This window comes from Homo sapiens, chromosome 4 (genome assembly GCF_000001405.40).
Source record: "Homo sapiens chromosome 4, GRCh38.p14 Primary Assembly".
NCBI classification, from domain to species: Eukaryota; Metazoa; Chordata; class Mammalia; order Primates; family Hominidae; genus Homo; species Homo sapiens.
Window position 1 is genome coordinate 112,795,394 of NC_000004.12, and position 27,490 is coordinate 112,822,883.

The window sequence follows — 27,490 nt, forward strand, 5'->3', positions numbered from 1 at the left end:
AGGTAAAGTGTATAAATATTTCTCTCAATGAAAGATGAACAAGACCTACAGACCCTAAAGTTAGATAAATGTCAAGATCCAGGTACAGGATTAGAAAGGAGAACTAGATTAAATTTTTTTTATTTTCCGAGATGGAGTCTCGCTCTGTCCCTCAGGCTGGAGTACAGTGGTGCGATCTCGGCCCACTGCAACCTCTGCCTCCTGGGTTCAAGTGATTCTCCTGCCTCAGCCTCCTGAGCAGCTGGGATTACAGGTGCCTGCCACCACACCTGGCTAATTTTTGTTTTTTTAGTAGAGATGGGGTTTCACAATGTTGGCCAGGCTGGTCTCAAGCTCCTGACCTCGTGATCCACCTGCCTCAGCCTCCCAAAGTGCTGGGATTACAGGCGTGAGCCACTGTGCCCAGCATTTTTTTTTTTTTTTGAGACAGGTTGTCACTCTGTTGCCCAGGCTGGAGTGCAGTGGTGTGATCATGGCTCACTGCATCCTCAACCTCCCCAGCTCAGGTGATCCTTGCATCTCAGACTCTGGGAGTAGCTGGGACTATAGGTGTACACCACCATGCCCAGCTAATTTTTGTATTTTTTGTAGAGATGGAGTTTCACTATGTTGGCCAGGCTGGTCTCCAACTCCTGGACTCAAGTGGTCCACCTGCCTCAGCCTCCCAAAGTTCTGGAATTGCAAGCATGAGCCACAGCACCTGGCTGAGATGAATTTTTAAAAAAATTGTGATAAAATATACATATCGTGGTTGAGTGTGGTGGCTCACACCTGTAACCCTAGCACTTTGGGAGGCTAGGTGGGCAAATCACCTGAGGTTGGGAGTTCAAGATCAGCCTGACCAACATGGAGAAACTCCATCTCTACTAAAAATACAGAACTAGCCAGATGTGGTGGTGCATGCCTGTAATCCCAGCTACTCGGGAGGCTGAGGCAGGAGAATTGCTTGAAGTCAGGAGGTGGAGGTTACGGTGAACCGAGATTGTGTCATTGCACTCCAGCTTGGGCAACATGAGCGAAACTCCGTCTCAAAAAAAAATATCTATATATCTATATATCTATCTATATATATACACACACACACACATACATATCATAAAACTTACCTTTTTAACTATTAAATTTTTTTTAACTTAAATAGAGACGGGTTCTCACCATGTTGTTCAGGCTGGTCTCGAACTTCTGGCCTCAAGCAATCCTCTCACTTTGGCCTCCCAAAGTTCTAGGACTACAGACATGAGCCACCATGTCTGGCCACCTTCTTTTTTTTTTTTTTTTCTTTTCTTTTTTAAAATAAAAACTTTATTTCAAATAGGTACAGTGGTATGTGTGATACAACAAAGGCCTGTTGTAACAAGCAGTTTCATTTCAAAGCTCATTGAAGTACAAATCTGAAAGTGTTTAACAATGATCAATGTCTGCTAAAATGTATATTAAATTGATCAACATACCATTTTTGACATTATTATATATCCAACTCTTTAAGTAGAAGAAGTTAAATTTTCATCACAAAAAGTGAGGATCACCTGACAGTTTCTACAAAGGTAATGAGCTGTGAAATGTATTCCCTCATTTGGCTTTGAAAATATACCCTCAGGTTACTAAGAGAAATTCTGAGTTTGCCCAACTGTGTTATTTAACTGTAATTCTTCACTTGTCATCTACTGTTGGCTTCATGGCCACTCCTCTTCTATCTGATCCCAACGAATTAAATGCTAATGTTTCTCAGCTCTTTGGCTAAGGGCAATTTTTTTCTCCTACTTTTGTGCACACAGGATTAGTGAGAACTATTTTACCCAAATCATCTTTGACTGCACTCTCTTCTTCCTGTAGACAGAGATCGTATGTTTACTATAAGAACTTTGCTCATGGACAGCTTTTGTACTTTTTCTGTTTTTTTGCCTTCTTCTATACATACACCTAGAGCTGTCTAAGCAGTAAATAGGACATTTCTGGTCCTGTGACGATCTTAGGTACAGCTCCAACTGCACCAAGCACCTGCCCGGCCATTCTATGAATGTTGGGTAAATTTTTGTTCCAACTCCCGTAAGACTCCCTGGAGCAGTGTACTGAGGATCATTGTATTCTGCAAAAAGTGATACAAGTTTGGAAATGATTGTTTTACACATGAGTTTTCCTTCACTATTTTTGGGAACAATACCAAGTCTGACTCCTGTCTCCTGGACCACCTTTAATACACCTTTTTAAATACTGCCACCAGTTGTTCTCCCTGGTAATATCATCAATATCACAGCCAGGTTCGTTAACATCAAACGACCTAATAACAATAAGTTGGGGTTCTGAAGTAAAGTCTCTTGGAGGTACTGAAATTTTCCTTGCTATATACTCACGGACAACTTCAAGATTGTATTTCAGCTTAGCAGAAATGAAAATAATAGGAGGCTCTTCTGCTACTCTACTTTATATTAATACAATGAAAGGATCTGTTCATACTGTTCTTTAGCCTTACTTTCTTTTACCAAATTAATTTTATTTTACAGAATGAAAGTATGTTTCAGCTTCATAATATCTATGGCAGCCAGGTGTTCAGAGGAGTCTGAGGTTGAGGACAAGATTCTTTGCCGGCTATCAACAGAAAGGTCACATCCATCACTGCTATACCGTTCATCAAAGTAGCCATCAAAATATCATGGCAGGACAGTCAACCAAGGAAACATGTCTGACTAGTTCAAAGTTTCTTTTGGTCCCTGGAATATTTATAGGAAACTCATCAAGGTGTACTACTTCCACAGAATCTGTAATATTCTGGCCGAGGAAACTTGAGTCATCGAGTTTATAATCTTGGCATTTAATGTGTCCAAACTTGATAGTAATATTTCTTTACAGTTCATTTTTGAACCTGACATGTGAATGACAGAAATAGTTTTTACAATTATGGATTTTCTTTTTTTTTTGAGACAGAGTTTCTCTTTTGTTGCCCAGGAGTGCAATGGCATGATGTCAGCTCACTGCAACCTCCGCCTCCCGGGTTCAAGCGATTCTCCTGCCTCAGCCTCCTGAGTAGCTGGAATAACAGGCATGCACCACCACCCCGGCTAATTTTGTACTTTTAGTAGAGATGGGGTTTCTCCATGTTGGCAAGGCTGGTCTTGAACTCCCAACCTCAGGTGATCCTCCCGCCTCGGCCTCCCAAAGTGCTGGGATTACAGGCATGAGCCACCGCGCCTGGCCACAGTTATGGATTTTCTATGAGCAACATGATCAATTGTACCTGTATTAGTTGTGGCTCATCTGCTTGATAACTTTGTGTAAAAGTAGAGTCCACTCAGTAACATCCTCATGCATAGCATGGTTTCTTTAGCCCCACTGGTGTAGCACAAGGGTGTGGTAGTGCCAGGACTGGCCATCTATCTTACTCAGGTTGGTACCATTGTCTTGGCTTGTCCATGGTAGGTCTGATGGTGCCTAGAGCCCCTGGCGTGGAGCTCATTTTAACCATTTTAAAGTGTACAGTTCAGTGGCATTAAGTACATTCACAGTGTTGTGCAACCATTACCACTATCTGTCTCCAGATCTTTTTTCATCTTGCAAAACTGAAATTCCATACCCATTAAAAAATAATTCCCTATCCCCCAGTCCCTGGCAACCACCATTTGCTTTCTGTCTGTATGAGTTTGACTACTTTAGGTACCTCATGTAAATGGAGTCACACTATTTGTCCTTTTGTGACTGGCTTATTTTGCTTAGTATAACGTCTTCAAGATTCATCCACAATGTAGCAGGTGTTAGAATTTCCTTCCTTTGTAAAGCTAAATAACGTTCCATTGTATGTATGTACCATATTTTGTTTTATCTTTTTGCCCATTGAAGGACACTTGGGTTGCTTCAATGGGCAAATGGCTATTGTGAATAATGCTGCATGAACATGGGTACACAGACACCTGTTCGAGTGCCTGCTTCCGATTCTTTCTGGTATGTGCCCATAAATGGAATGGCTGGATCATATTGTAATTCCATTTTTAATTTTTGAGGAACCTCTGTACTGTTTTCTAGGGTAGTGGCACCATTTTATATTTCTACCAGCAGTTTACAAGAGTTCCAACTTTACGTCCTCTCCAACATTTTTTCCTTTCTTTTAAAATTTTTATTTATTTATTTTTATTTTTATTTTTATTTTTTTGAGATGAAGTCTCGCTGTGTCACCCCGGCTGGAGTGCAGTGGCAGGATCTTGACTCACTGCAACCTCCGCTTCCTGTATTCAAGCGATTCTCCTGCCTCAGCCTCTCTAGTAGCTGGGATTACAGGCGCACACCACCATTTCTGGCTAACTTTTGTATTTTTAGTAGAGACAGGGTTTTGCCATGTTGGCCAGGCTGGTCTTGTAACTCTTGCCTTCAGGTGATCCGCCCGCCTCAGCCTTCCAAAGTGCTGGGATTACAGGAGTGAGCCACCGCGCCCAGCCCACCTCTTTTTTTTTTTTTTTTTTTGTAAATAATGACTAAAATGTGTAAAGCAGTAGATTAATCCTTAATAACATGAATTCTGATATACAACACATAACCTGTCTCAGTTCCTAGCCTAGGATTCACTCACATAGAAGGTTCTTGTTGAAAGAATGAACAAGAATCCACACACCACATGTAAAATTAACTACCTATAGAAAATAATCTAGGAAGCAATATAACACAGCTTATTCATCCATCCATTCATTGGGTCAATGAAATGGAGTATATGCCATGCACGATGTTAATTATTAGGAGTTCAAATTTCGGCAAAATGTGGAGTCACGACAAATGTCGTTCCTTCTCTCCAAGAGTTCATATTCTGGCCTCTCTCAAGGGAAGAAGGCTGAGTCAGCAGGATATGATAGGCCAATTAAAGTATCCTTTAAAAACACCTAACCCTTCCACTCTTCAGACTACATTTTTTCAACCCACATTATGATTAGCAATGCTACTGTATTCTAGTTTTGCCTATATGCATTTTCTTTTACCAATTAGTATATATACTAGTATAGTGAGATATAGTACAAATCTAGCGTGTGTGTGTATGTGTGTGTGTATGATATATTTATACCTCACAGGAATTTACTTCATATGATTCAGGCCCTCTGGAGTTCTGGGAGTGAAATAAGTCCTAATAGCTGTAAGGTATTCATTGCATGTAATGAATTAACTTCTCTCTGCGTCTAGAATGGTACCAGTTATTTGCCAGCGTTGGGAGAATTGAGAAATAGTCACTCAATTTTTTGTGCTCTGTGTTCAAATTAAGAACCCCTTTTGAGAAAGTCAGCCTCACTGGCTTTTCTTTTCTTTTTTGAGATGGAGTTTCGCTCTTGTTCCCCAGGCTGGAGTGCAGGCGCAATCTTGGCTGACTGCAACCTCCGCATCCCAGGTTCAAGCGATTCTCCTGTCTCAGCCTCCCGAGTAGCTGGGATTACAGGTGCCCGCCAATGCAGCGAGCTAATTTTTTGTATTTTTAGTAGAGACGGGTTTCACCATGTTGGCCAGGGTGGTCTCGAACTCCTGACCTCAGGTAATCCACCCACCCCGACCTCCCAAAGTGCTGGGATCACAGACAGGAGCCACTGCACCCGGCTGGCTTTTCATTTTTAAATGAAGTAATAAAATTGAGCTTCTGAACCTGCAAAGCTGAGAGCTATTCATTGCACTATGGTAATGACAGAATTATGTAGGACACCAAGGTAGTCAGTTAACTCTATAGTGACATTACTGCTTCTGCCTTCTGTGTGAATTCAGAATGAGGAGGGCATACATTGACAACTGAATCATAGTCTGATTTCCTTCCTATAGAGGTGGGGAGAATGGGCTTATTTTTTGTGTGTGGGATTTATGTGTCTTAAATGCAAATTGTTCCTCAATAGTCAACAAAATGCTGTAAAAATCATGATATCATTTTGTTCATTATAGCAAAGCCATGCACTGAACTGCCTTCCTGAAGATAAATGTATACACAGTGCTTTGCTCCTGAGGATCTGCATTACTCTTTGTACTTACTTAACAACTATTTATTGAGATCCTACCATGTCCTTATTACTGTGCTTTGTCCTGATAATACAAAGGTGAACTGATCCTGTGGTCTAGTGGTGGTGGGAGACAAGTGAATAGGCAATTATAATTGACAGAGAAGGCACAGGATGCTGTGGTTACACAAAAAGAGACCCCTAACTTAGGCTAAGGGGATTAGGGCAAGGCTTCCTGGAGGAGCTGATAACTAAGTTAAAACCTGTGAATTGAATGGGAGTCAGCTAAGTAAAGAAAAAGAAAAGTCTTTCTTGGAAAAAACAGTACATAGAGAGTTCTAGCATGGGTAAGCATGCAAAATTAGGAAAATAAAAAAAGATGAGTGTGGTTTGAGATCAGATTGTGAGGGTAAGAGATGAAGCAGAGAGATAGCAGGTGCACTCTCAACTAGGATGTTATAAACCCTCTTCAGGACTCTATTTTGAGAGCAATGAAGATCCATTAAAGCAGTTGAAGAAAGGTGTATCATAATGAAATTTATGTTCTGGAAAGATAACTCTAGCTACGGTACAGAGTATGATTAAGGGGAGGGTGAGGTGAAGGTCTGGTAGACCATTCATGATTTTTTTTTTTTGCAGTAATTCAGTAATGAGAAAAATTTATAAATTTGTGTGATATTTTCCAGGATCTGGTGACTTTTGTTGTTATAGGATGTGGGGGAAAAGGGTCACTTCCTGGTTTCCGGTTTGGCTACTAGGTGAGATGGAGAAACAGGAGGAGTGGCAGGTTTCTTGAGGAAGATGACAAGTTCAATTTTAGGTGGTTTAGATTTGAGGTATTTGTGCAACAACTGAGGAGGCTTGCAGGGTGGAAAGTTTAGAGGGAGATTGGAGGACACTGTTGTTCATATTTGAATTGCTGCTCTTCTTGCCAATCCTCCTTTAGGATGCCACTGTGGAATTAAGAATTAATGAATTAGAGATATTTCCTGTGGAATTGGATCCAAAAAGTACAAAAGGAAGGAGCATGCAGCTTGCTGCTTCTTGGGAGCATAACCGGCTGAGGGTGCACTGTTTTATCATTTTCCACCAGCAGCATAATGCTTGCTCCTTCCCATTCATTTCAATATATGTATTTATATTTTAAATATGCAAATTTACATGTTCACAGATAAAGTCCTTGATGTATCTGTTGATGTGCTTATCTCTGGGAAGTGGGATTAGGTGGAGGAGAGGGGCATTATTCCTTTATATAACCTTATATTGCTATGCTGTTTTTGCACAAAGCAACTTACTTTTATGAAAAAATTAAAATTATTAAGTAAATAATTGAGTAGAAATTTTGAGTAAATTGGGTTGAAAAAATACTTGAAGTGACAGGCAATGTAGACTTTTTTTGAAGAGCAATATAGACAACATAGGAGTTAAAACAAAAACAAAAACAAAAACGATACGCCTCAAACTATATGGGGCAATCTTCCTGCCCATGATTCCTCCCGAGGTGATATGTTAGGAATCGTGTGCAAATGATTTTTGTCATCCAGTTGCTACTTCTTATTTATTCTTCTGTAGCAAGCATCCAACATTACATCTCTTATCAAGACTGATGCTCAACTGGTACTCACTGGTAGGCTGCAGTGGTTATTTATAGCCTGTGTCTGTTCTGATTGGTCTGATTACTGGCTGTTGTTATAACTGCTGCTTTTAGTGATTTATATTCTCTGACACCACTGATTTAGGAAGACTGTCTCGACATCTGCCTCTTCCTTGATCTCCTTTCAAGTTTCTCCAGTATTCCCTCGAGAATATCTATCATAGTAGTAGTTATATAGTAGTAGTTATCTATATAGCATCTATAGTAGCCTGAATAATGGTCCTCAAGGTATCAGGTCCTAATTCCAGGAACCCTTAAATGTTACCTTACTTGGAAAAGGGTCTTCGCAAATGTGATTAAGGATCTTGATATGGCAAGATTATATTGGATTATCCAGATGGGCCCTAAAAGCCTACTTTATAAGCGATAGGCAAGTGCCTTTATAGGAGGCAGGCAGAAGGGCAGTTTGACACAAGCACAGAAGAGAAGGCTAGGGAAAGGAGGAGTAGATCGTGATTTGAAAATGGAAGCCTTGAAGACTGGAGTAATGGATGCGGTCACAAGTCAAAGAATGTTGGCTGCCACCGGAAGCTGGAAGAGGCAGGAGCAGATTCTCCCTCTAGAGCTTCTGGAGGGAGCACAATCCTGTCGACATCTTGATCTCAACCCTGTGAAACTGATTTCAGAATTTCTACGTGCAGAATTGTGAGAGAATAAATATCTCGAATATTGCATGGAACATACATACACTAAAAAATATACTATTGTTTATCTAAATTCAAATTCAACAAGGCAGGCCTCTTGTATTTTATTTGGTAACCATATATAGAGACTATGTCTTAATCTCTGTATTGTTTAGCATGTTTGATCAGTGGATGTTTGTTGAATAAATAAATAAAATGACAATTTTGCAAAGAGTTAAAAAGTATTTTTAATATTTAAATTTCCAAATAGTATAATAGACAGAGAATAATATAATGAAGCCCTTTATAGCCAAATAGTGTAATAGAGAGAATAGTATAATGAAGCCCCTTATATACATTGCAGCTTTTATAATCATTGATGTATGACCAATCTCACGGTTTTTTTTTTTTTTCTTTTTTTGAGATGGAGTCTCGCTCTGTCACCCAGGCTGGAGGGCAGTGGCGCGATCTCGGCTCACTGCAACCTCCGCCTCCTGGGTTCACACCATTCTCCTGCCTCAGCCTCCCAAGTAGCTGGAACTACAGGCGCCTGCCACCATGCCTGGCTAATTTTTTTTGTATTTTTAGTAGAGACGGGGTTTCACCGTGTTAGCTAGGATGGTCTCGATCTCCTGACCTTGTGATCTGCGCACCTCGGCCTCCCAAAGTGCTGGGATTACAGGCGTGAGCCACCGTGCCCGGCCAATCTCACAGTTTTTAAAACAATACTTTATTCAAGAGAAGCAGCTCTGATGGTATAGTTGTTTGATTTTCTATTTATGAGCATATGAATGAGTGTATGAAGGGACAGGGCTATGGTGGCATTAGCACTGCATTTCAAGAAGCTACCTCCTTGGACAAAAATTGAGGAAATTGAGAGTGATGAGCATTTGCATATAGATAACATGAGAACAAAACACAATGTAACTCATTGAGGGAGCTTGTTATAGAATGCCAGAAGATATCGAGGACTTGGATGATATTTTCTAAATATAAATTGTAACATGTGAGGTGGGAGGATTGCTTGAAGCCAAGAATTCAAGACCCATATAGAGGACATGGATGATATTTTCCAAATATAAATGCAAATATAAACTGGAACATGTGAGGCAGGAGATTGCTTGAGGCCAGGAGTTCAAGACTCATCTCGGCAACACAGCAAGACCCTGTCTCTACAACAACAACAAACAAAAAACTAGCCAGGCATGGTGGCACACGCACCTGTAATACTAGATACTCTGGAGGCTGAGGCGGGAGGATTGCTTGAGCCCTGGAGTTCAAGGCTGTCGTGAGCCATGATTGTGCCACTGCACTCTAGCCTGGCTGATGAATTGTGACCCCTTCTCAAAAAAAGAAACAAAATTGCAACCTGGACACAAAAATTGTGCCTCACAGAGTGGTGAAGAACCAATAAGAACAGTTAATCAGAACTTTATTCTGAACACCCAGGAAGAATAGGTTGGAGATGTAGAAGTGACTAGCACTGAGGAAGGATGTGACCAGATCATCCCTGAATGCGAAGTAGCCACGGAAAGGAGGGCTGGGCTGAGTCAGACCACTGTTTGTAGGAAAATTAGGCCTCAAAAAGTCAAATGAAAGACACGTATAATTGCATCATGAGGATGTTGAAAGACAAGCAGGTGCCAGAGAAATGGGAAATTCTTTAAAAAAATGAAATTTTAAAACTTAAGCTTCATACATTTTTATGAAATGAGAGGAAACCAGAAGTATTTGCGGCAGTTGTTATTGGTTGCCTACCTTTGTACCAGGTAACATGAACCAAAATGGGCCAGGCCAACAAGTCAGTCAACAGATCATTTTTTGTGCTCGCTATGCACCAGGCACTGATCTAGGCACTGTCGTAAATAAGCTAGACAAGGGTTCATTTTTTCAAGAGCCAATGTTCCTGGGGTGGTGTAAAACAAGGGTGTAGGGACTGTGACAAAGCAGATAGGCATGCAGATTTTTTTTTTTTTTTTTTTTTAAGACCGAGTCTCACTCTGTTGCCCAGGCTGGAGTGCAATGGGGTGATCTTGGCTCACTGCAACCTCTGCCTCCCGGGTTCAAGCGATTCTCCTGCCTCAGCCTCCTGAGTAGCTGGGATTACAGGCGCATGCCACCACGCCTGGCTAATTTTTGTATTTTTAGTAGAGACAGTGTTTCACTATGTTGGTCAGGCTCGAACTCCTGACCTCGTGATCCACCTGCCTTGGCCTCCCAAAGTGCTGGTATTACAGGCATGAGCCACTGCGCCCGGCCACATGCAGACTTTTGTATCTTCATTTTAAAATTTTTAAGCCTTTAATTATTATGAGTACAAAATAGGTGTATATATTTATGGGGTAGATGTGATATTTTGATACAGGCATACAATGTGTAATAATCACATCAGAGTAACCAGGGTATTCATTATCACAAGCATTCATCATTTGTTTGTGTTAGAAACATTCCAACATTCCTCTCTTTTAGTTATTTAAAAATATACCATAAATTATTGTTGATTATAGTAACCCTATTGTGTTATCAAAACTAGATCTTATTCTCTCTAAATATATTTTTGCACCCATTAACCATCGCCACATTTCTCCCCCTCACACTACCCTTCCTAGCCTCTGGTAATGATCATTCTACTCTCCACTGAATTGTTTTAATTTTTACCTCCCACGTATGAATGAGAACATGTGAAATTTGTCTTTCTGTGCCTGGTTCATTTTACTTAACATAATGTTCTCCAGTTCCATCCATGTTGTTGCAAATGACAGCATTTCATTCTTCTTATGCTGGAATGCTACTCCACTGTGTGTATATATACTACATTTTCTTTATCCATTCATCCACTGATGAATACTTAGGTTGATTCCAAATCTTGGCTATTGTGAACAGTGCTGTAATAAACATGGGAGTGCAGATATCTCTACAATATACTGATTTCAGGCCAGGTGTGGTGCCCATGCCTGTAATCCCAGCGCTTTGGGAGGCTGAGGCAGGAGGATTGCTTGATCTCAGGAGTTTGAGACCAGCCTGGGAAACATGGCAAGACCCAGTCTCTACAAAAAATAAAAAAAATAGCCAGGTTGGTGGTGCATGCCTGTAGTCCCAGCTACTTGGGGAGGCTGAGGTGGGAGGATTACTTGGGCCCAGGGAGGCTGAGGTTGCAGTGAGCCGTGATGACGCCACTGTACTCCAGCCTAGGTGACAGAGTGAGACCTTGTTTCAAAAAAGAAAAAAATGAAAAAATATATACACTGATTTCCTTTCTTCTGGATGTATACTCAGCAGTGAGGTTGCTGGGTCTTATGGCAGTTCCATTTTTAGTCTTTTGAGGAATCCTCTTTTCTTTGTTTAAGAGTGTGCTGGGAACACAAAATGAGTCTTCAGGGGAATAATCTGGGCCTTGGGTGGCCCATTTCCAACTCTCTTCTATCGGATAAAGCTGGTGTTTATTAGCATGGCTTCCAAGGCCCTCTCTGATGGAGTGCTCTTTTAACTACCTCTGCATCCTCATGTCCTGCTGCTCCATACATCTCAATTAAGCAGTGTAGAACTGTTTCTAGTCTCTAGGCACACTGTGCTGTGCTGCAACTCTGTTCCTGTCATTCTTTTGTAGGGGCCTTCCTGTTTCCTATCACGGTTGCTATTAAAATACCTGAAACTCATTAAGTGTCAGTTGAATTGAACTGAATAAGATTTCATATTGTTTTTAAGGAACTAAAAATCTGCTTGAGGAGACAAACATGTATGCAGATACCGTCACAGAAGTGCATTTAAGTCTCATAATGAGTTCACAGTTTCAGGTTGTAAGGAAGAACATGGCAGAACACTGAAAATGGGCAGAACAGTTACTATTCTTTGAGGAGAGCTGGAGAATGGCAAAGGTTCTGGATGATGGTGAATTTTATCCATGTTTTTAGAAAGGGGGTAAAATTTGGATTTTGATGTATACTTAGGTTTCACATTAGTCCTCAGCAACATTTAGACTGAATTTTAAAATAGGTGGTTTGTGAGTACTTAGATTAGGGAGAAATAATCAGTAGGAATAAGTTTGGGTTTACGAAGAGCGAATGAGATCAAAGAAACCTTGGTCTTTTCTTTCATAGGTCTCCTAGTTAATAAAGAAATGCTGAAAATCCACTATTTCAACCTGGCCTTGGGCAATTCCCCAGAAACAGCATTTGGTTGCTTTGTTATAGGACTTGGCCCTTTGCTCTTTGTCAGACTGTGGATGAGACCAAAAAAAGACATGTTTATTAAATTTGCAGATGACTAAGTTTTAATGCTTTGAAAAATAGAATTGGGATTTATAATTGGGCTGAAATGATAAACCAATATTGAAAAGATGAAATCTCATCAGGATTTATATAACCATTTATGTACAAATAATTCAGCATTCATGTGCTTATGTTCAAGAAAATGAAGGTCTATTTTAAGAACAGTCAGTGAGAAAGTTCTAGTGATTTTAGTTGACTGCAAGCTCAATGTGAGCCAATAGTGAAGAGTACTGCCAAGACATGGGGATACAAATCTACACTGCATTAATAACAGCTGAGTGTCCAGAGTAAGGGAAATAGTCATCCCACTTCTTTGTGATTCTCAGACCACACACATTTGGAGTCTTGAGTCCTTAGATCTGGGTTCCCTATTTCAAGAGGAAATATTGACAAAGTGGAGCATATCCGGAAGTGGGTGAGCAGGATGATGAAGACAGCAAAAATCATGTCAAATAGGAAATGGCTGAATAAAGTGGGAGCATAATTACTCTCTCCCATTATGTGAAAGAAGGAGTAATCAAATATTATGTCACTCCAGAGAGCAGAACTAAAACCAGTGTGGTTGGAGAATTTAAAGAAAGCAAATTATGATACAATACAAAGAAGAAATACAAACTTCAGCTCTTAAAATTTAAGTGGGATTAAGTATTAGTTGTCAGTATTGTAGGGATGATAATTCTTCCCAATTCAATTTTAATGAAAACTCAATAGAAAACAAGAAGACAGAAACACCTGTGGTATTTTTGTGGGGCTGGGGGCAAATTCCAAAAATCACCTAGAAAAATAAATAGACAATAATGACTTTGAAAATTAGAAAGAGAAGGTTGGTTGAGCACTACATAGGCTATAATGATTAAATGAAAATGACACTGGTACAGACAAATCAATGGAATAGTTATTTCAGAGATAGACTCTGATATATCAATAACTTAATAGAAAACAAATGGGTATAACAACTGGGGACATACAGACTATTTATTTATTTATTTATTGAGACAAATTCTTTCTCTGTTGCCCAGACTGGAGTAAAGTGGTGCGATCTCGGCTCGCTGCAACCTCTGTCCCCCTGGATTCAAGTGATTCTCCTGCATCAGCCTCCGGAGTAGCTGGGATTACAGGTGTGTGCCACCACACCTGGCTAATTTTTTTATTTTTAGTAGAGACGGCATTTCACCACATTTGCCAGGCTGGTCTTGAACTCTTGAACTCAGGTAATCCACCCACCTCAGCCTCCCAAAGTGCTAGGATTACAGGCGTGAGCCACTGCACCCGGCCCAAACTATTTAATAAATTTTCTAGGACAATTCATTTGGTAACTGGGGAAAGACAAAACACTTCAAAAAAACTTCCTGGTAGTTTAAATTAAATGTTAAATGGTTAGAAATAAATAAATAAGGGCCGGGCGCGGTGGCTCACGCCTGTAATCCCAGCACTTTGGGAGGCCGAGACGGATGGATCACGAGGTCAGGAGATCGAGACCATTCTGGCTAACACGGTGAAACCCCGTCTCTACTAAATATACAAAAAATTAGCCGGGCATGGTGGCAGGTGCCTGTAGTCCCAGCTACTCCGGAGGCTGAGGCAGGAGAATGGCGTGAACCTGGGAGGCGGAGGTTGCAGTGAGCCGAGATCTCGCCACTGCACTCCAGCCTGGGCGACAGAGCAAGACTCCGTCTAAAAAAAAAATAAATCAATAAAAATAAATAAATAAAACCAGGCCAGGCACAGTGGATCACACCTGTAATCCTAGCACTTTAGGAGGCCGCGGCGGACAGATAGCATGAGCCCAGGAGTTCGAGACCAGTCTGGGCAATATGGTGAAACCCCATCTCTACTAAAAATACAACAACTGAGGTGGGAGGATCACCTGAGCCTGGGAAAGTCAAGGCTGCAGTGAGCTGTGATCGCGCAACTGCACTCCAGCCTGGGTGAGAGTGAGAGCCCATTTCAAAAAATAAACCAAAAACACAAAAATTAGAAAAATTAGAATTGAGTACTTAGAAAATCCCTGCATTTGGGGAGAAATGTTCTGTTTTATTACATTTTACTGTACAACATTTCAAATATTAAAATAAATAGAGAGTATAACAAATACCTGTATATTTCTTATCTAGGTTTGCCAATTGCTAACATGTTGTCATATTTACTTTATTTTTTTAAAGCATTTGGAGGTAAATTATAATGTTGCTTTACCATTATGTTCTTTAGTATCTCTAAAATAAAGATATTTTAATTTTTTGTGTATATATATATATATATATATATATATATATATATTTTTTTTTTTTTTTTTTTTTTTGTAGCAATGGGGTTTCACCATGTTGGCCAGGCTGATCTCGAACTCCTGACCTCAGGTGATCCACCTGCCTTGGCCTCCCAAAGTGCTAGGATTATAGGTGTGAACCACTGTGCCTGGCCAAATAAAGATTTTTTTCTTAACTGAGCACAATACTTTTATCATGAGCACAGCTACAAAATTAAATAATTCTCTGCTATCTTCTGATACCCAGTATACATCCAGATTTCCTCTGTTGGCCCCAGTGTGTTTTCCAGCCAAGTTGCTCAAATCAGGATCCAGTCAATGACCTGCATGATTCTTAATATGTGGTGAGCTATGGCTCATATTTCTCTGTTAGTTGAGAAAAGTTCTGTTTCCTTCTTGCTTATTTTATTTTATTTTATTTTTTAGATGGCGTCTCACTTTGTCACCCAGGCTGGAGTGCAATGGTGCAATCTCAGCTCACCGCAACCTCTGCCTCCCAGGTTTAAGCAATTCTCCTGCCTCAGCCTCCTGAGTAGCTGGGATTACAGGCACCCACCACCTCGCTCGGCTAATTTTTTTATTTTTAGTAGAGACGAGGTTTCACCATGTTGGCCAGGCTGGTCTTGAACTCCTGACCTCAGGTGATCCACCCCCTCGGCTTCCCAAAGTGCTGGGATTATAGGCGTGAGTCACCACGCACAGCCCCTTCCCGCTTTTTTGTTGTTGTTGTTTTGTTACATTTTCTTGCTGAAGAGACTGGATCAATTTTCTTTTTCTTTCTTTCTTTTTTTTTTTTTTTTTGAGACTGGGAATGAGTCTTGCTCTGTCGCCCAGGCTGGAGGGCAGTGGCGCGATCTCGGCCCACTGCAAGCTCCGCCTCCTGGGTTCACGCCATTCTCCTGCCTCAGCCTCCCGAGTAGCTGGAACTACAGGGGCCTGCCACCATGCCCGCTAATTTTTTTTTGTATTTTTAGTAGCGATGGGGTTTCACCGTGTTAGCCAGGATGGTCTAGATTTCCTGACCTCGTAATCCACCTGCCTCGGCCTCCCAAAGTGCTGGGATTACAGGCGTGAGCCACCGCGCCCGGCCACGAGACTGGATCAGTTTTCCGGTAGAATTCCACCTTCTGGATTTATATGATTGTTTCCTTCTGGTTTCATTTAAATTTTAGGTAACTCTCTGCTGTATTTCCTGGAGACTGGAAATTTTGATCTAAAGTTGTTACTGATGTCAGGTAAAACATTTTTGTCAAGTGTGTTTCATGGGTGATGCTGTGAACATTATATCCTATCATATCAAGAGTTGTACAATACTTAGTTGTGTTACTTTTTATGATATTAAGATCGATCTTTAGATTAATGGTAAATGGGGAAATTACTAGATCTCTCTATTATAAAGTTACGATTTCCCCCCCTTGAGACAAGTAAATATTCTGTGTGCTAAGAACTCAGCAGCAGATTAGTATCCAGTGCCTTTATCAACCTTATACTCAATGCTGTTGGCACCCATTGCTGACTGTTGTCTGAACCAGTTACTCCATTACAAGTTGCAAAATGGTGATTTTTCCAATTGTTAGTGTTTTTGCTTTCATTAACTAAGATTCTTCTAATAGAGTTCGCCTTATTAATTAGAGCTATGTGTTACTCCGGCCGGGCGCGGTGGCTCACGCCTGTAATCCCAGCACTTTGGGAGGCCGAGACGGGCGATCACGAGGTCAGGAGATTGAGACCATCCTGGCTAACACGGTGAAACCCCGTCTCTACTAAAAATACAAAAAATTAGCCAGGTGTAGTGGCGGGCGCCTGTAGTCCCAGCTACTCAGGAGGCTGAGGCAGGAGAATGGCGTGAACCCGGGAGGCGGAGGTTGCAGTGAGCCACGATCCCGCCACTGCACCCCAGCCTGGGCAACGGAGCAAGACTCCGTCTCAAAAAAAAAAAAAAAAAAAAAAAGAGCTATGTGTTACGCCAAAACAGAGTTCCATTTGGAAAAGAAAGAATTCATACTTAACTCTCGACTAATTTTCGTGTAAGGAATTGGTATAATAGTTACCTCAATGAGGGGCAAATATGTCTTTTCATTCTGGGCTGAGTATCATTAGGACTTTTATATATTCAAGTGTGTCACTCAATTATAGTATTCTTTATGATGCTGTGATAGATTGTATTTACCAAAGCAGGATACACCAATATATTCAGTCTCACATGGTCTTCCTATAATGTGATATTGACACATCTCCATTGCTTCTGCCTGGCACTCTCTTGGGACACATGCTTTTAGTGAAATCCAACCACCCTGAAGCCACCATGTTAAAAGACCATAAGGAAAAGCAACATAAGAGGCACGCAGAGATGATTAAGGAGACCTAATTATTCCATTCCTCAATGTTCCAGTTCAGGCACCAGACATGTGAGTGAATGAACCCTCAGAGGATTTCATTCTCCAGCTTTTGAGGTGCTCAAATGATGCTAAGTGGAGTAGAAACCAGCTAACCCTCTGAACCCTTCCCAGACTACAGATTTGTGAGAAAAATAAATGTTTCAAGCTAAGTTTGGCATGACTTTTTACATAGCCATAGTAACTAGAAAAGATGCTTTTGGTGAAGTTGGCTTTTGGGGGCCTCTCCACGTTGATTCCTGTCCTTTGACACGACCCTACTTCTCTTCAGTAATTTCCTTGCTTTCTGCTATAAGACAATGTGCTAAGCTCATCTTATACATTCTCTGCCTCAGATTTAAAATCAGCCTTTTCCCCAAAGAGCCCTGGTTCTTTTTAGTGAGGAATGGTATTTAGAGTTTAAAATCTGGTCATCGGCTGGGCGCGGTGGCTCATACCTGTAATCTCAGCACTTTGGGAGCCTGATGTGGGTGGATCACAAGGTCAGGAGTTCGAGACCAGCCTGGCCAACATAGTGAAACCATGTCTCTACTAAAAATAAAAAAATTAGCTGGGCATGGTGGCATGCACCTGTAGTCCCAGCTACTTGGGAGGCTAAGGCAGGAGAATCGCTTGAACCCGGGAGGTAGAGGTTGTGGTGAGCCAAGACTGCACCACTGCACTCCAGCCTGGGCAACAGAGTGAGACTCTGTCTAAAAAAAAAAAAAAAATCAAAAAAAAAATCTGGTCATTATGGAAACTTTCAATGGAACAAAAACAATGGAAAAAATTACAAATGATGACAATAAAACACTTCAACATGTTTCCCAAAAGCAGAATTTAAAGGCAAACAATGAAGCTCAACAGAATAAAGAAACATATTAAAAATTCAGTGAAAATAAAAATCAATGTGGACAAGCAATTCTTAAAAGACAGAATGCCGATGAATAGTAATCATTGAATCATTTTCAACTTTCTATACTATTTTTCCTTTACCAAATTATATTATATTTATTTATTTATTTATTTATTGAGACAGGGTCTCACTCTGCCACCAAGGCTGGAGTGCAGTGGCGTGATCATGGCTCACTGCAGCCTCGACCTCCCAGGCTCAACCCATTCTCCTGCCTCAGCATCCTGAGTAGCTGGGACCACAGGTGTGCACCACCATGCCCAGCTAATTTTTCTATTTTTCATAGAGACAGGGTCTTGCCATGTTGCCTAGGCTGGTCTCAAACTCCTGAGCTCAAGCTGTCTACCCATCTTGGCCACCCAAAGTGTTAGGATTACAGGCATGAGCCACTGCACCCAGCCAGATTTCCCTTAAAAGAAATAGGCCTCAATGCTGACAAGAATGCAGTATGAATGAGTCGTCCAGGTTAGAAGGTCAACTCTGCTTTCTGTGGTAATTTAGTGGCCCAGTTTTCTTCTGTTCATTTGCTCTGCCATTCCCCGTTAAAGCTGTGTGGTTGAAGTGAGGTCACAGGCAAATCTGTGTTTTAGCTTGCATAAAGGAAACAAAAGAAGTTTAAGGCAAGCAATGTTCTTTGAGGCAAGAAAGGAGAAATTCTGCTCAGAAGGCCACACTGAGTTGCAAGGGAGCTTGGGAGCTGTAGTCTTTGGGCAGGCAGTTATATATCTTGCCTAAACACTATTACTTTGAAATAAGATCGCATCCTTTAATTCAATAGTTCATTTTCTTATAGTCTTTCCTGAGGAAATAAATGAATTTCAGAAAACAAGTGTTAATTACCTAATGAACAATAACTCAGCCAACGAGAGAAATATTCAGTATGTTATTTACTGGAGAAGGAAGCTACTTAAGAAGCATCTATATAGTTTCATTAAAGGGTGTTAGAGGCCATGATGAGGAGTTAAATGAGATGGAAAATGACTGGAGAGCGTTTTTTTGTTTTTTTGTTTGTTTGTTTGTTTGTTTTTTTGAGACAAGGTATTACTCTGTTACCCAGTCTGGAGTGCAGTGGCATGATTGTGGCTCATTGCAGCCTCAACCTCCCTGGGCTCAGGGGATCCTCCCACCTCAGCCTCCTGAGTAGCTGGGACTACAGGTGTGTACCACCACTCCAGGCTAATTTTTAAATTTTTTTTAGGGATGGGGTTTCGCCATGTTGCTCAGGCTGAGAGAGTTTTAAGTAAGAGAGAGAACATTCTGCTTGCTCTATAGAGGACAACTGGAAGCTGTTGCTGTAGTCCAGGAGACAAGTGATGATGGTAGCCTGTGCTAGAGTTTAGGAGTAGTGACAATCTTTTGAATATTAAACCTTTGTTAACTCTATAGATTTTGGAAGGAACAATTTGTCAGTGAGGCCACATTTCGCACTTCACTTAGCTCATATTATAAGAAATAGTGGCAAAAGATCACTGTATGGGGGGTGTTGGTAGGTACCTGAACAGTGCTATTTTTAAATTGCCAGTTAATTTTAGCTAGAGAGATCAGCAAAATTCCAAGAAACTAAATACAAAAAGACACTTTTTTTTTTTTTTTATGATGGAGTCTCAAAGTCTACTATTTTTAGTAGAGATGGGGTTTCACCATGTTGGCTGGCCAGGCTGGTCTTGATCTCCTGACCTCAAATGATCCGCCCACCTCGGCCTCCCAAAGTGCTGAGATTACAGGTGCAAGCCACCACCACTGGCGAGAATTCACTTTCTTTGTCTACTTTAACTGCATTACTTTCTATGTATTTGATTTAGCAACTATATTTCAGATATTTGTGTGGAAACAGTATATCCCTAACAAGATTATAAACCCATCGAATATCATGCACTTTGGTATCATTTTCAGTGACTTGAACATAATAGGTGTTCAATTAAATAAGTGTAAAAGAATTAACTCTGTGATATTGTGATATATAAACAAACACATATATTAATATTCATCCCTAGTTTCTGACGCAGAGCTCATAAAACCTTGGTAATTTCCTAGATAATGAGGAGAGATTAGCATAATTTGCTATTCATAAGGCCCTTTCAACCAAACCTGAGTTTATGCTAATGAGGTGACTCTTGGTGGGGGCAGGGGCCTGCCCTAGATAGCTTCAGGATGGGAACTCTTTGCCAGAGAAACCAACCATGTGATTAGAGGATTTAAACTTTCAGATCCACCACACCTCCATAGAGGGGAGGGGGGCTGAAAATTGAGTCAGTCTCCAATGGCCAAAGATTTAATCAACCATACCTCTGTAATGGGACCTCCATAAAAAGAAACCATTAACAATAGGATTCAGAGAGCTTCCAAGTTGGTGAATGTATCCACATGTTGGGACCACATCAAACACCACGGGGACAGAAGCTCCTGCACTCTGGACACTTGGAGACCTCACCTTACATGCCTTTTCATCTGGCTGTTCATTTGTGTACTTTATAATATTCTTTATAACAAACTGGTAATAATAAGTAAAGTGTTTCCCTGAGTTCTGTGAGCTATTATAACAAATTATCAAACCTAAGGACGGAGTCAGTCGTGGGAACCCCCAATTTGTAGCCAAGCTGGACAAAAGTGTGGGTAACCTGGGTACCCACTACTTGTGATTTTTATTTGAAGTTGGGGGCAGTCTTGTGGAACTGAGCCCTTAACCTGTGGTGTCTGCGTTAACTCTGGGTAGTCAGTGTCAGAATTGAATTAAATTGTAGGGCACTTGGTGTCTGCAGAAAATTGGGAAATTTCTTGATGTGAAAAACCCACATATCTGGTGTCAGAGATGTTCTGTTTCAGTAGAAACAGTAGTAGACTTGAACAGTTTTACTCTTTATATAGCTTATTTCCAATAGAGAACAAATGGAAACAAGTGCTCTTGGAATCTCATATTGAATTCCACAGTCACAAGCATCCTGGTCAACTCAGGGGAAAATATCACACACTTGGTACAAAGCAAATAGATGAGTTAAATATTATATATTAAATGACAAATTTATTATGATATTAGTAATTTATAATTATTAGATTGAATTATTTCCATAAAAATATGCAAATACTATTATATTGATTACAATATCAAATAATGATATTATAGCCTTAATTAACATATAAGAAAATGGCACAATTCACTTTAAATATAAGGGACAAAGACAAAATAATGAAAACCAAGGGTTTGCATATTTTGTGATTATTTTATAGGAAACAGCTAATTATTAAACTAAGGAAAACTAAAATTAAATATTTATTTTTCTACTTAAGAAGTGTCTTGGCCGGGCACAGTGGCTCACGCCTGTAATCCCAGCACTTTGGGAAGCCGAGGCAGGTGGATCACCTGAAGTCAGCAGTTCGAGACCAGCCTGGACAACATGGTGAAACCCTATCTGTACTAAAAATACAAAAATTGGCCAGGTGTGGTGGCACATGCCTGTAATCCCAGCTACTTGGGAGGCTGAGGCAGGAGAATCACTTGAACCCGGGAGGGGGAAGTTGCAGTGAGCCAAGATTGTGCCACTGCACTTCAGCCTGGGGGACAGAGCAAGACGGTGTCCAAAAAAAACAGTGAATTCTCCTCTCTGCTAGGGGAGCATTATATTTTTTGTAATTTTAGAATTACATCATTTCTGGTCACAGCTGTCTAAGCGGGCTATGATTTTGCTTCATAAAGTCTTATTGATTTTGATTATTCTTACCTTAAAGATTACATGTGTTACCATTTATCCTAATGAAATTAAGATAAAACCTGATTTTTTTTACCAGCCTTTAGATTCAGTATTAGACACAGAACATTTTATAAGGATCCTTGATAAGGCTCTTACTTCCTTGTCTTATCACAGAAGTAGAATTAGAAGCTCTGTAACAAATATCCAACCCCTCCACCATTTTGATAATCTGTTTTTGGACTGGGTATATAGTAGGTGATCAATAAATGATTATTGAATGAATGAATGTAAGCCTGAATGGATGGTTCTGACTTCCTGTCTGCTTATCTGCCTATCCGTCCAGGTCTGTACATCTATTTCTGTTGGACTATATGTGAATCCTCTCAAAATAGAATTATTGTGTATTGCACTGAGTCTCATGGTTACCTCACTGAGATTGCCCATGAACTAAACTCAGTGGTGACTAGCTTAAAACACACACACACACCACCTACCAATATTTTATGACTTAAACATATATATATGTATATATGTATATATAGATATATATAAACTCTTATATAAAAGATGATCTACTGAAAGGCGGTGGGGTATGGTGGTGGTAGTGATTTATAGATGAAATCACTCCCACGGCATTGGCATCTTGGCAGTAGCTTATTCCTCAGCTTCTCTGAACTAGGCGTGGAACTCCAGTTACTTCCCATATATCTGATACATTTAGGCTGCAACAAATTCAAGTGCTTTTCTTGCTTATTTTTCCCTTCTTTTAGAACAGAAGAAACCAGAAAAAAAATATTTTGTGAGAAAACAACAGTTCCTTACTCTGTACCACCTGCTTAAATGCAAACCAAAGGCACTCAAATGATGCAACCCAAGAGTGTGGAAGAGGCTGGCGGATGGGCTGTCACGTCTGGCTGATCTGATGTCAGAGCAGATCATGTGGTGCTCTGTGGGCAGCTGGGACTGGCCCGCCGAAAGCACATGGATTACAGTCTGAGGCTGTAATGGGAAAGTCGGTTCCTGGGCTGCTGTCTCATAGACATCAGCTTGCAGGGAAGCTGGGGGCTCTCCGAATTGCCCTGCTCCGGGGCCCCTCCTGCTGCGTGACTCACAGGCACATTGCAGAGAGAAGCTGCCGCTCCCAGTAAGTGCTTAAAGAAGGTCTTTATTCAGAGCATTTTGGAAGCGGGGAGGAAGTGTTTGTGTTGATAGGGGGTGCTGGAAGCCTTTGTAAAACCCCCTCCTTGGGTCTGGGCTGGGCAGCGGCGCTTTCCATGCCATTCTGGAGTTCAAAGGCAGCGCTGATGTGCAAATGTTCCCCAGCCCTGGTTTTGGTTTGTTCTCCATGTGATGTGTTTTTCTGATTTGCATTTTCTCTTTCTGTAATCGTAGGGCAGATTTTTAAGATCTGGTTAAAGTGAATTGATTTATTTGAGATTCCCAGCCCCAGAGTGGACTTGGTGTTCCCTGTATGATAAGCAGGGAGAGGGGCAAGAGGGTGGTGGCTCTTTTGGTCAGAATACTGCTTGTGTTAAGACACTGGCTGTGTCTGTGCCGGAGAAAGTGGTTGCCACCCCTTCTCTGCATTGGGTGAGTAGGTGGTGTGAGAGAAAGCGGGGGTGAACCAGCAGTAAAGAGATTTAATTAGTTTTTGGTAAACAGCAGTGCTATTAGTATGTTGCCTTTTTTTATGGTCAAAATTTATATTAAATAGTGTCAGCTGGCAGAACAGGTGCTGGCAGTAGAAGAATGATGGAGTTCTTTCTCCCTTTCCCAGCTAGTGAATTGTCTTTCCTGCATCGAAAGCCCAATTAAGGAGTAGAGAGAAATGTAACAGATACAGATTTCTGAGCAGTGTTTTTTTGTTTGTTTGTTTGTTCTTTGGCTTGGTTTTTATTTTTTATTCCTAAAAAGCACCACATTCCCACACTCATGCATCAGGAATGATTCTCACCTCGACGATGTCTTAGGTGTGGCCTTTTTGGAGAGCAAAGGAATAAATTCAATAACATCTTTCTCTTCCTCCTGAGCATATAACATTAAGTTTGCTTTAGAGACTGAAAATAAATGTGTGTGGTTGGAAGGAGATATAAAGGGGAATTTAGAAGAACAGATTGTTTATTTGCCCTGGCACTTTTCTGTGAACACTTGATAGAGTTCTAGGTCAAGGTGTATGGTGTCCCCTTGAGGGATAATAGGCAAATAATTAGGCTATGTCTTTAAGCATTGGAAAATCTTTATTTTTTAAAGGAAGAGAACCTAGTCTTTTCTATGAATCTCTGCACAAACCAGAGACTTTGGGGCCAAACACTGATTCCAGAAACACTTAGGCATTGAAGAAACTTTTGGGTGAGAAAGATGATGGTATGAATGCAAAGAAAATATGCTTAGATGAGTTTTGTCCTTTTTTTTTAGCCTTTTGCAGTATATGGTTTAAGTCACAGAACAACAAACAACAGAAGAGAGCATGCCCCACCCAGTGTTGTGAACATGGATGATTCCCCTCCCATTCTATTCCACTGAACTGCATAAACACTAGCACAGAGACAGTTCTAATTCATCTTTTGAACCCTGTATGTTACAGGTACAAGCCATATAAAATGAAGACATAGAGAAATGGAAGATCCTCCCACCCCACCCTACTTTCTCCTCCTTCCATATTGTTGAGTGAAGCTATATTCATCTTGGAAAGGGTCTGCATCACTGCTTGTAATTTTGTTAGCCATTTCTTGTAGACGAGCACGGTGTGAGGAATTCAGAGGTAGTCTTCCTGATCTGGCCCTCCGTCTCTGCCTAGACCACACCCCCTTTTTTGGCCACATGCCTAAAACTCTCTGAAGGGGAGTGTGATAAAACGATGCTCATCCTTGGGCACATGGATTCCTCGGTCACAAAACTGAAGAGGCCTGATTTCTCTGCAGACACACATTTCCTGCTTCTCAGGGTGAAGATACCCATTTATGGGGGTTTTAGAATTCCTTTTCTTTAACACAGTAATGTGAAAAGAAATGGAAGAAAATTATCCATTTTTCCATCTCACTCACACAACTATGTTTAATGTCCTGTATCCTCTTCCTGTCTTTATCATCACATTAGGCTAGCTATGTTTAATGCAGAAGGGCTATCCACACTCCTTCAGATTTCTGCTTTTCAGGGAAGGCACCTGTAGTTACAGTCTTAGAACTGGACCAGACCCTATTAGGACTGATAGTTCAGCCATATTTCACAGAGGGTAAAGCTGGTCAGAGTTACACATCTGATGAGTGACAGAGTTGGGACTAGAACTCAGATTGCCTGACTGCCCAGTGCTCCTTCTGCAATCATGCAACCTAAGGAGAGAACATTTTCTTTAAAAATTAGGTGTTTTTTTCAATTTCTGGTTCTTTTTTATTTAAAATGCTGTGTAATTATTAGCATAGTAAAATGACTGTAATTTCACCGTCTTTCCCGAAGAATGTCTTGCAATAGATTGGAAAGTCAATTTTGTGTTTTTAAATTAGAGACAGGTTCTTGCTATGTTGTCCAAGCTGGACTCAATTCCTGGGCTCAAGTAATCCTCCTACCTTAGCCTCCCAAGTAGCTGGGATTACAGGCATGAGCCACTGTGCCTAGCTTTGCCTTTGTTTTTCTGTTTTTCGAGATAGGGTCTCTCTCTGTTGCCCAGGCTGGAGTGCAGGGGCATGATCATAGCTCATGTAACCTTAAACTCGGGTTCAAACAATCCTTCAGCCTTAGACTCCTGAGTGACTGGGACTACAGGTGCATGCTGCTATACCGGGATAATTTTTATTTATTTATTTATTTTTTTGAGACCGAGTTTCACTCTTGTTGCCCAGGCTGGAGTGCAATGGCGCGATCTTGGCTCACCGCAACCTCCGCTTCCCGGGTTCAAGCGATTCTCCTGCCTCAGCCTCCCGAGTAGCTGAGATTACAGGCATGCGCTACCATGCCTGGCTAATTTTTTTTGTATTTTTAGTAGAGACGGGGTTTCTCCATGTTGGTCAGGCTGGTCTTGAACTCCTGACCTCAGGTGATCCGCCCGCCTCGGTCTCCCAAAGTGCTGGGATTACAGGCATGAGCCACCCCGCCCGGCCCCTTAAATGTTTTTTGTAGAGATGGAGTCTTGCTGTGTTGTCAGGGCTGGTCTGGAACTCCTGGGCTCAAATGATCCTACTGTGTTAGCTTCCCTAGTAGCTGGGATTACAGGCATGCACCATCACACCTAGTTCAGATTGGGAAATCTTTACAGAGAAAATTAAGTTCTGTTTTCTTAGGAAAGTAGCATATTTATATTCTTTGTGGGTCATGTGATGAGATCTCAAATACCTGATTGTTATAGTTTTCTAATCTTGGCTTTCTGAGAATGTAGACTACCCTAATTTTTTTTTTTATTTTTTTTTTGAGACTGGGTCTCAGTCTGTCACCCAGGCTGGAGTGCAGTGGTGTGATCACAGCTCATGTAACCTTGAACTCTTGGGCTCAAGTGATCCTCTCACCTCAGCCTCTTGAGTAACTGGGATTATAGGCAAGCACCACTATGCTGTCTTCTACCCTAATTAATAAGGGGGATTATTGTTCAGTTATGGCAAATCACATACCACGAGAACATTTAGAAGCTTCATTCTATTTGGGTGGTTTTCTGAGTCATAGATTTTTTTTTTTTTTTGAGAAAGGGTCTGTCTGTCACCCAGGCTGGAGTACATTCGTGCAATCTTGGCTTAATGCCACCTCCGCATCCTGGGCTCAAGCCATCCTCCTATCTCAGCCCCACCAAATAGCTGGGACCACAGGTGTGTGCCACCACGCCCAGCTAACTTTTGTATTTTTTGTAGACACAGGGTTTCACCTTGTTGCCCAGGCTGGTCTTGAACTCCTGGGCTCAAGCGATCCACCCGCCTCAGCCTCCCAAAGAGCTGGGATTACAGGCATGAGCCACTGCGCCTAATGTTCTTTCTTTATACAAACCTATTCATGGTGACATATTTAAAAACCATTTAAGGGGCCGGGCACGGTGGCTTACGTCTGTAATCTCAGCACTTTGGGAAGCCAAGGCGAGAGGATCACGAGGTCAGGAGATTGAGACCATCCTGGCTAACACCGTGAAACCCTGTCTCTACTAAAAAAAAAAAAAAAAAAAAAAAACAAAAATTAGCCGGGCGTGGTGGCATGTGCCTGTAGTCCCAGTTACTCAGGAGACTGAGGCAGGAGAATCTCTTGAACCTGGGAGGCAGAGGTTGCAGTGAGCCAAGATCGTGCCACTGCACTCCAGCCTGGGCGACAGAGCGAGATTCCGTCTCAAAAAAAAAAAAAAAGAAAAACAACAACAACAAAAAACCATTTCAGGCTGGGCATAGTAGCTCATGCCTGTAAATTCCAGCACTTTGGGAGGCCGAGGTGGGCAGATCACTTGAGGTCAGGAGTTCGAGACCAGCTTGACCAACATGACAAAACCTTGTCTCTACTAAAATTACAAAAATTAGCTGGGGGTGGTGGCATGCGCCTGTGGCCCCAGCTACTAGGAGGGGTGAGGTAGGAGGATGGCTTCAAACCAGGAGGCGGAGGTTGCAGTGAGCAAAGATCGCAACCTGCACTCCAGCCTGGGTGACAGAGTGTAACCCTGTCTCAAAAAAAAAAACCTGAAATAATAAAAACAAAACAAAGAAAGAAAGATTTAAAAGATGTTTAATTCAAAATAAAATTTCAGATTAATTTTTTCCCTGTTGAGATCAATGCTAGACCCACAAGAGATTTAAAAAAAAAAAC

General features: G+C 41.2%; 1 protein-coding gene and 1 pseudogene across 36 annotated transcripts in view, besides 5 other annotated features; one reads left to right on the forward strand and one right to left on the reverse strand.

The window, feature by feature from the left end:
* ANK2 (ankyrin 2) overlaps window positions 1-27,490 on the forward strand; it is a 678,115-nt gene that overhangs the window by 89,772 nt on the left and 560,853 nt on the right. For 31 of the 36 annotated variants that reach the window (NM_001386147.1, NM_001386160.1, NM_001354254.2 and 28 more), the window contains exon 1: window positions 22,712-22,871. The exons of 4 other annotated variants lie outside the window; for them this stretch is intronic. The gene's annotated coding sequence lies outside the window, so the exon portion shown is untranslated. Of the gene's footprint in view, window positions 1-22,711; window positions 22,872-23,265; window positions 23,318-27,490 lie in introns of those variants that run through there. One more of the 36 variants, NM_001386161.1, reaches the window with a different exon arrangement.
* Window positions 1,657-2,903, reverse strand: EIF2S3P2 (EIF2S3 pseudogene 2; annotated as a pseudogene).
* Window positions 18,528-18,587: a silencer, noted in NCBI's record as "silent region_15643". NCBI's record gives its function as "represses an Ori minimal core promoter by ATAC-STARR-seq in GM12878 lymphoblastoid cells {active_cell/tissue: GM12878}" and the evidence as "EXISTENCE:reporter gene assay evidence [ECO:0000049][PMID:35858748]".
* Window positions 22,408-22,933: an enhancer, noted in NCBI's record as "NANOG-H3K27ac hESC enhancer chr4:113738957-113739482 (GRCh37/hg19 assembly coordinates)". NCBI's record gives its function as "activates a minimal SCP1, AML or CMV promoter by ChIP-STARR-seq in naive H9 embryonic stem cells {active_cell/tissue: H9 hESC(naive)}" and the evidence as "EXISTENCE:reporter gene assay evidence [ECO:0000049][PMID:30033119]".
* Window positions 22,554-22,603: an enhancer, noted in NCBI's record as "active region_21834". NCBI's record gives its function as "activates an Ori minimal core promoter by ATAC-STARR-seq in GM12878 lymphoblastoid cells {active_cell/tissue: GM12878}" and the evidence as "EXISTENCE:reporter gene assay evidence [ECO:0000049][PMID:35858748]".
* Window positions 22,734-22,783: an enhancer, noted in NCBI's record as "active region_21835". NCBI's record gives its function as "activates an Ori minimal core promoter by ATAC-STARR-seq in GM12878 lymphoblastoid cells {active_cell/tissue: GM12878}" and the evidence as "EXISTENCE:reporter gene assay evidence [ECO:0000049][PMID:35858748]".
* Window positions 22,934-23,457: an enhancer, noted in NCBI's record as "NANOG-H3K27ac hESC enhancer chr4:113739483-113740006 (GRCh37/hg19 assembly coordinates)". NCBI's record gives its function as "activates a minimal SCP1, AML or CMV promoter by ChIP-STARR-seq in naive H9 embryonic stem cells {active_cell/tissue: H9 hESC(naive)}" and the evidence as "EXISTENCE:reporter gene assay evidence [ECO:0000049][PMID:30033119]".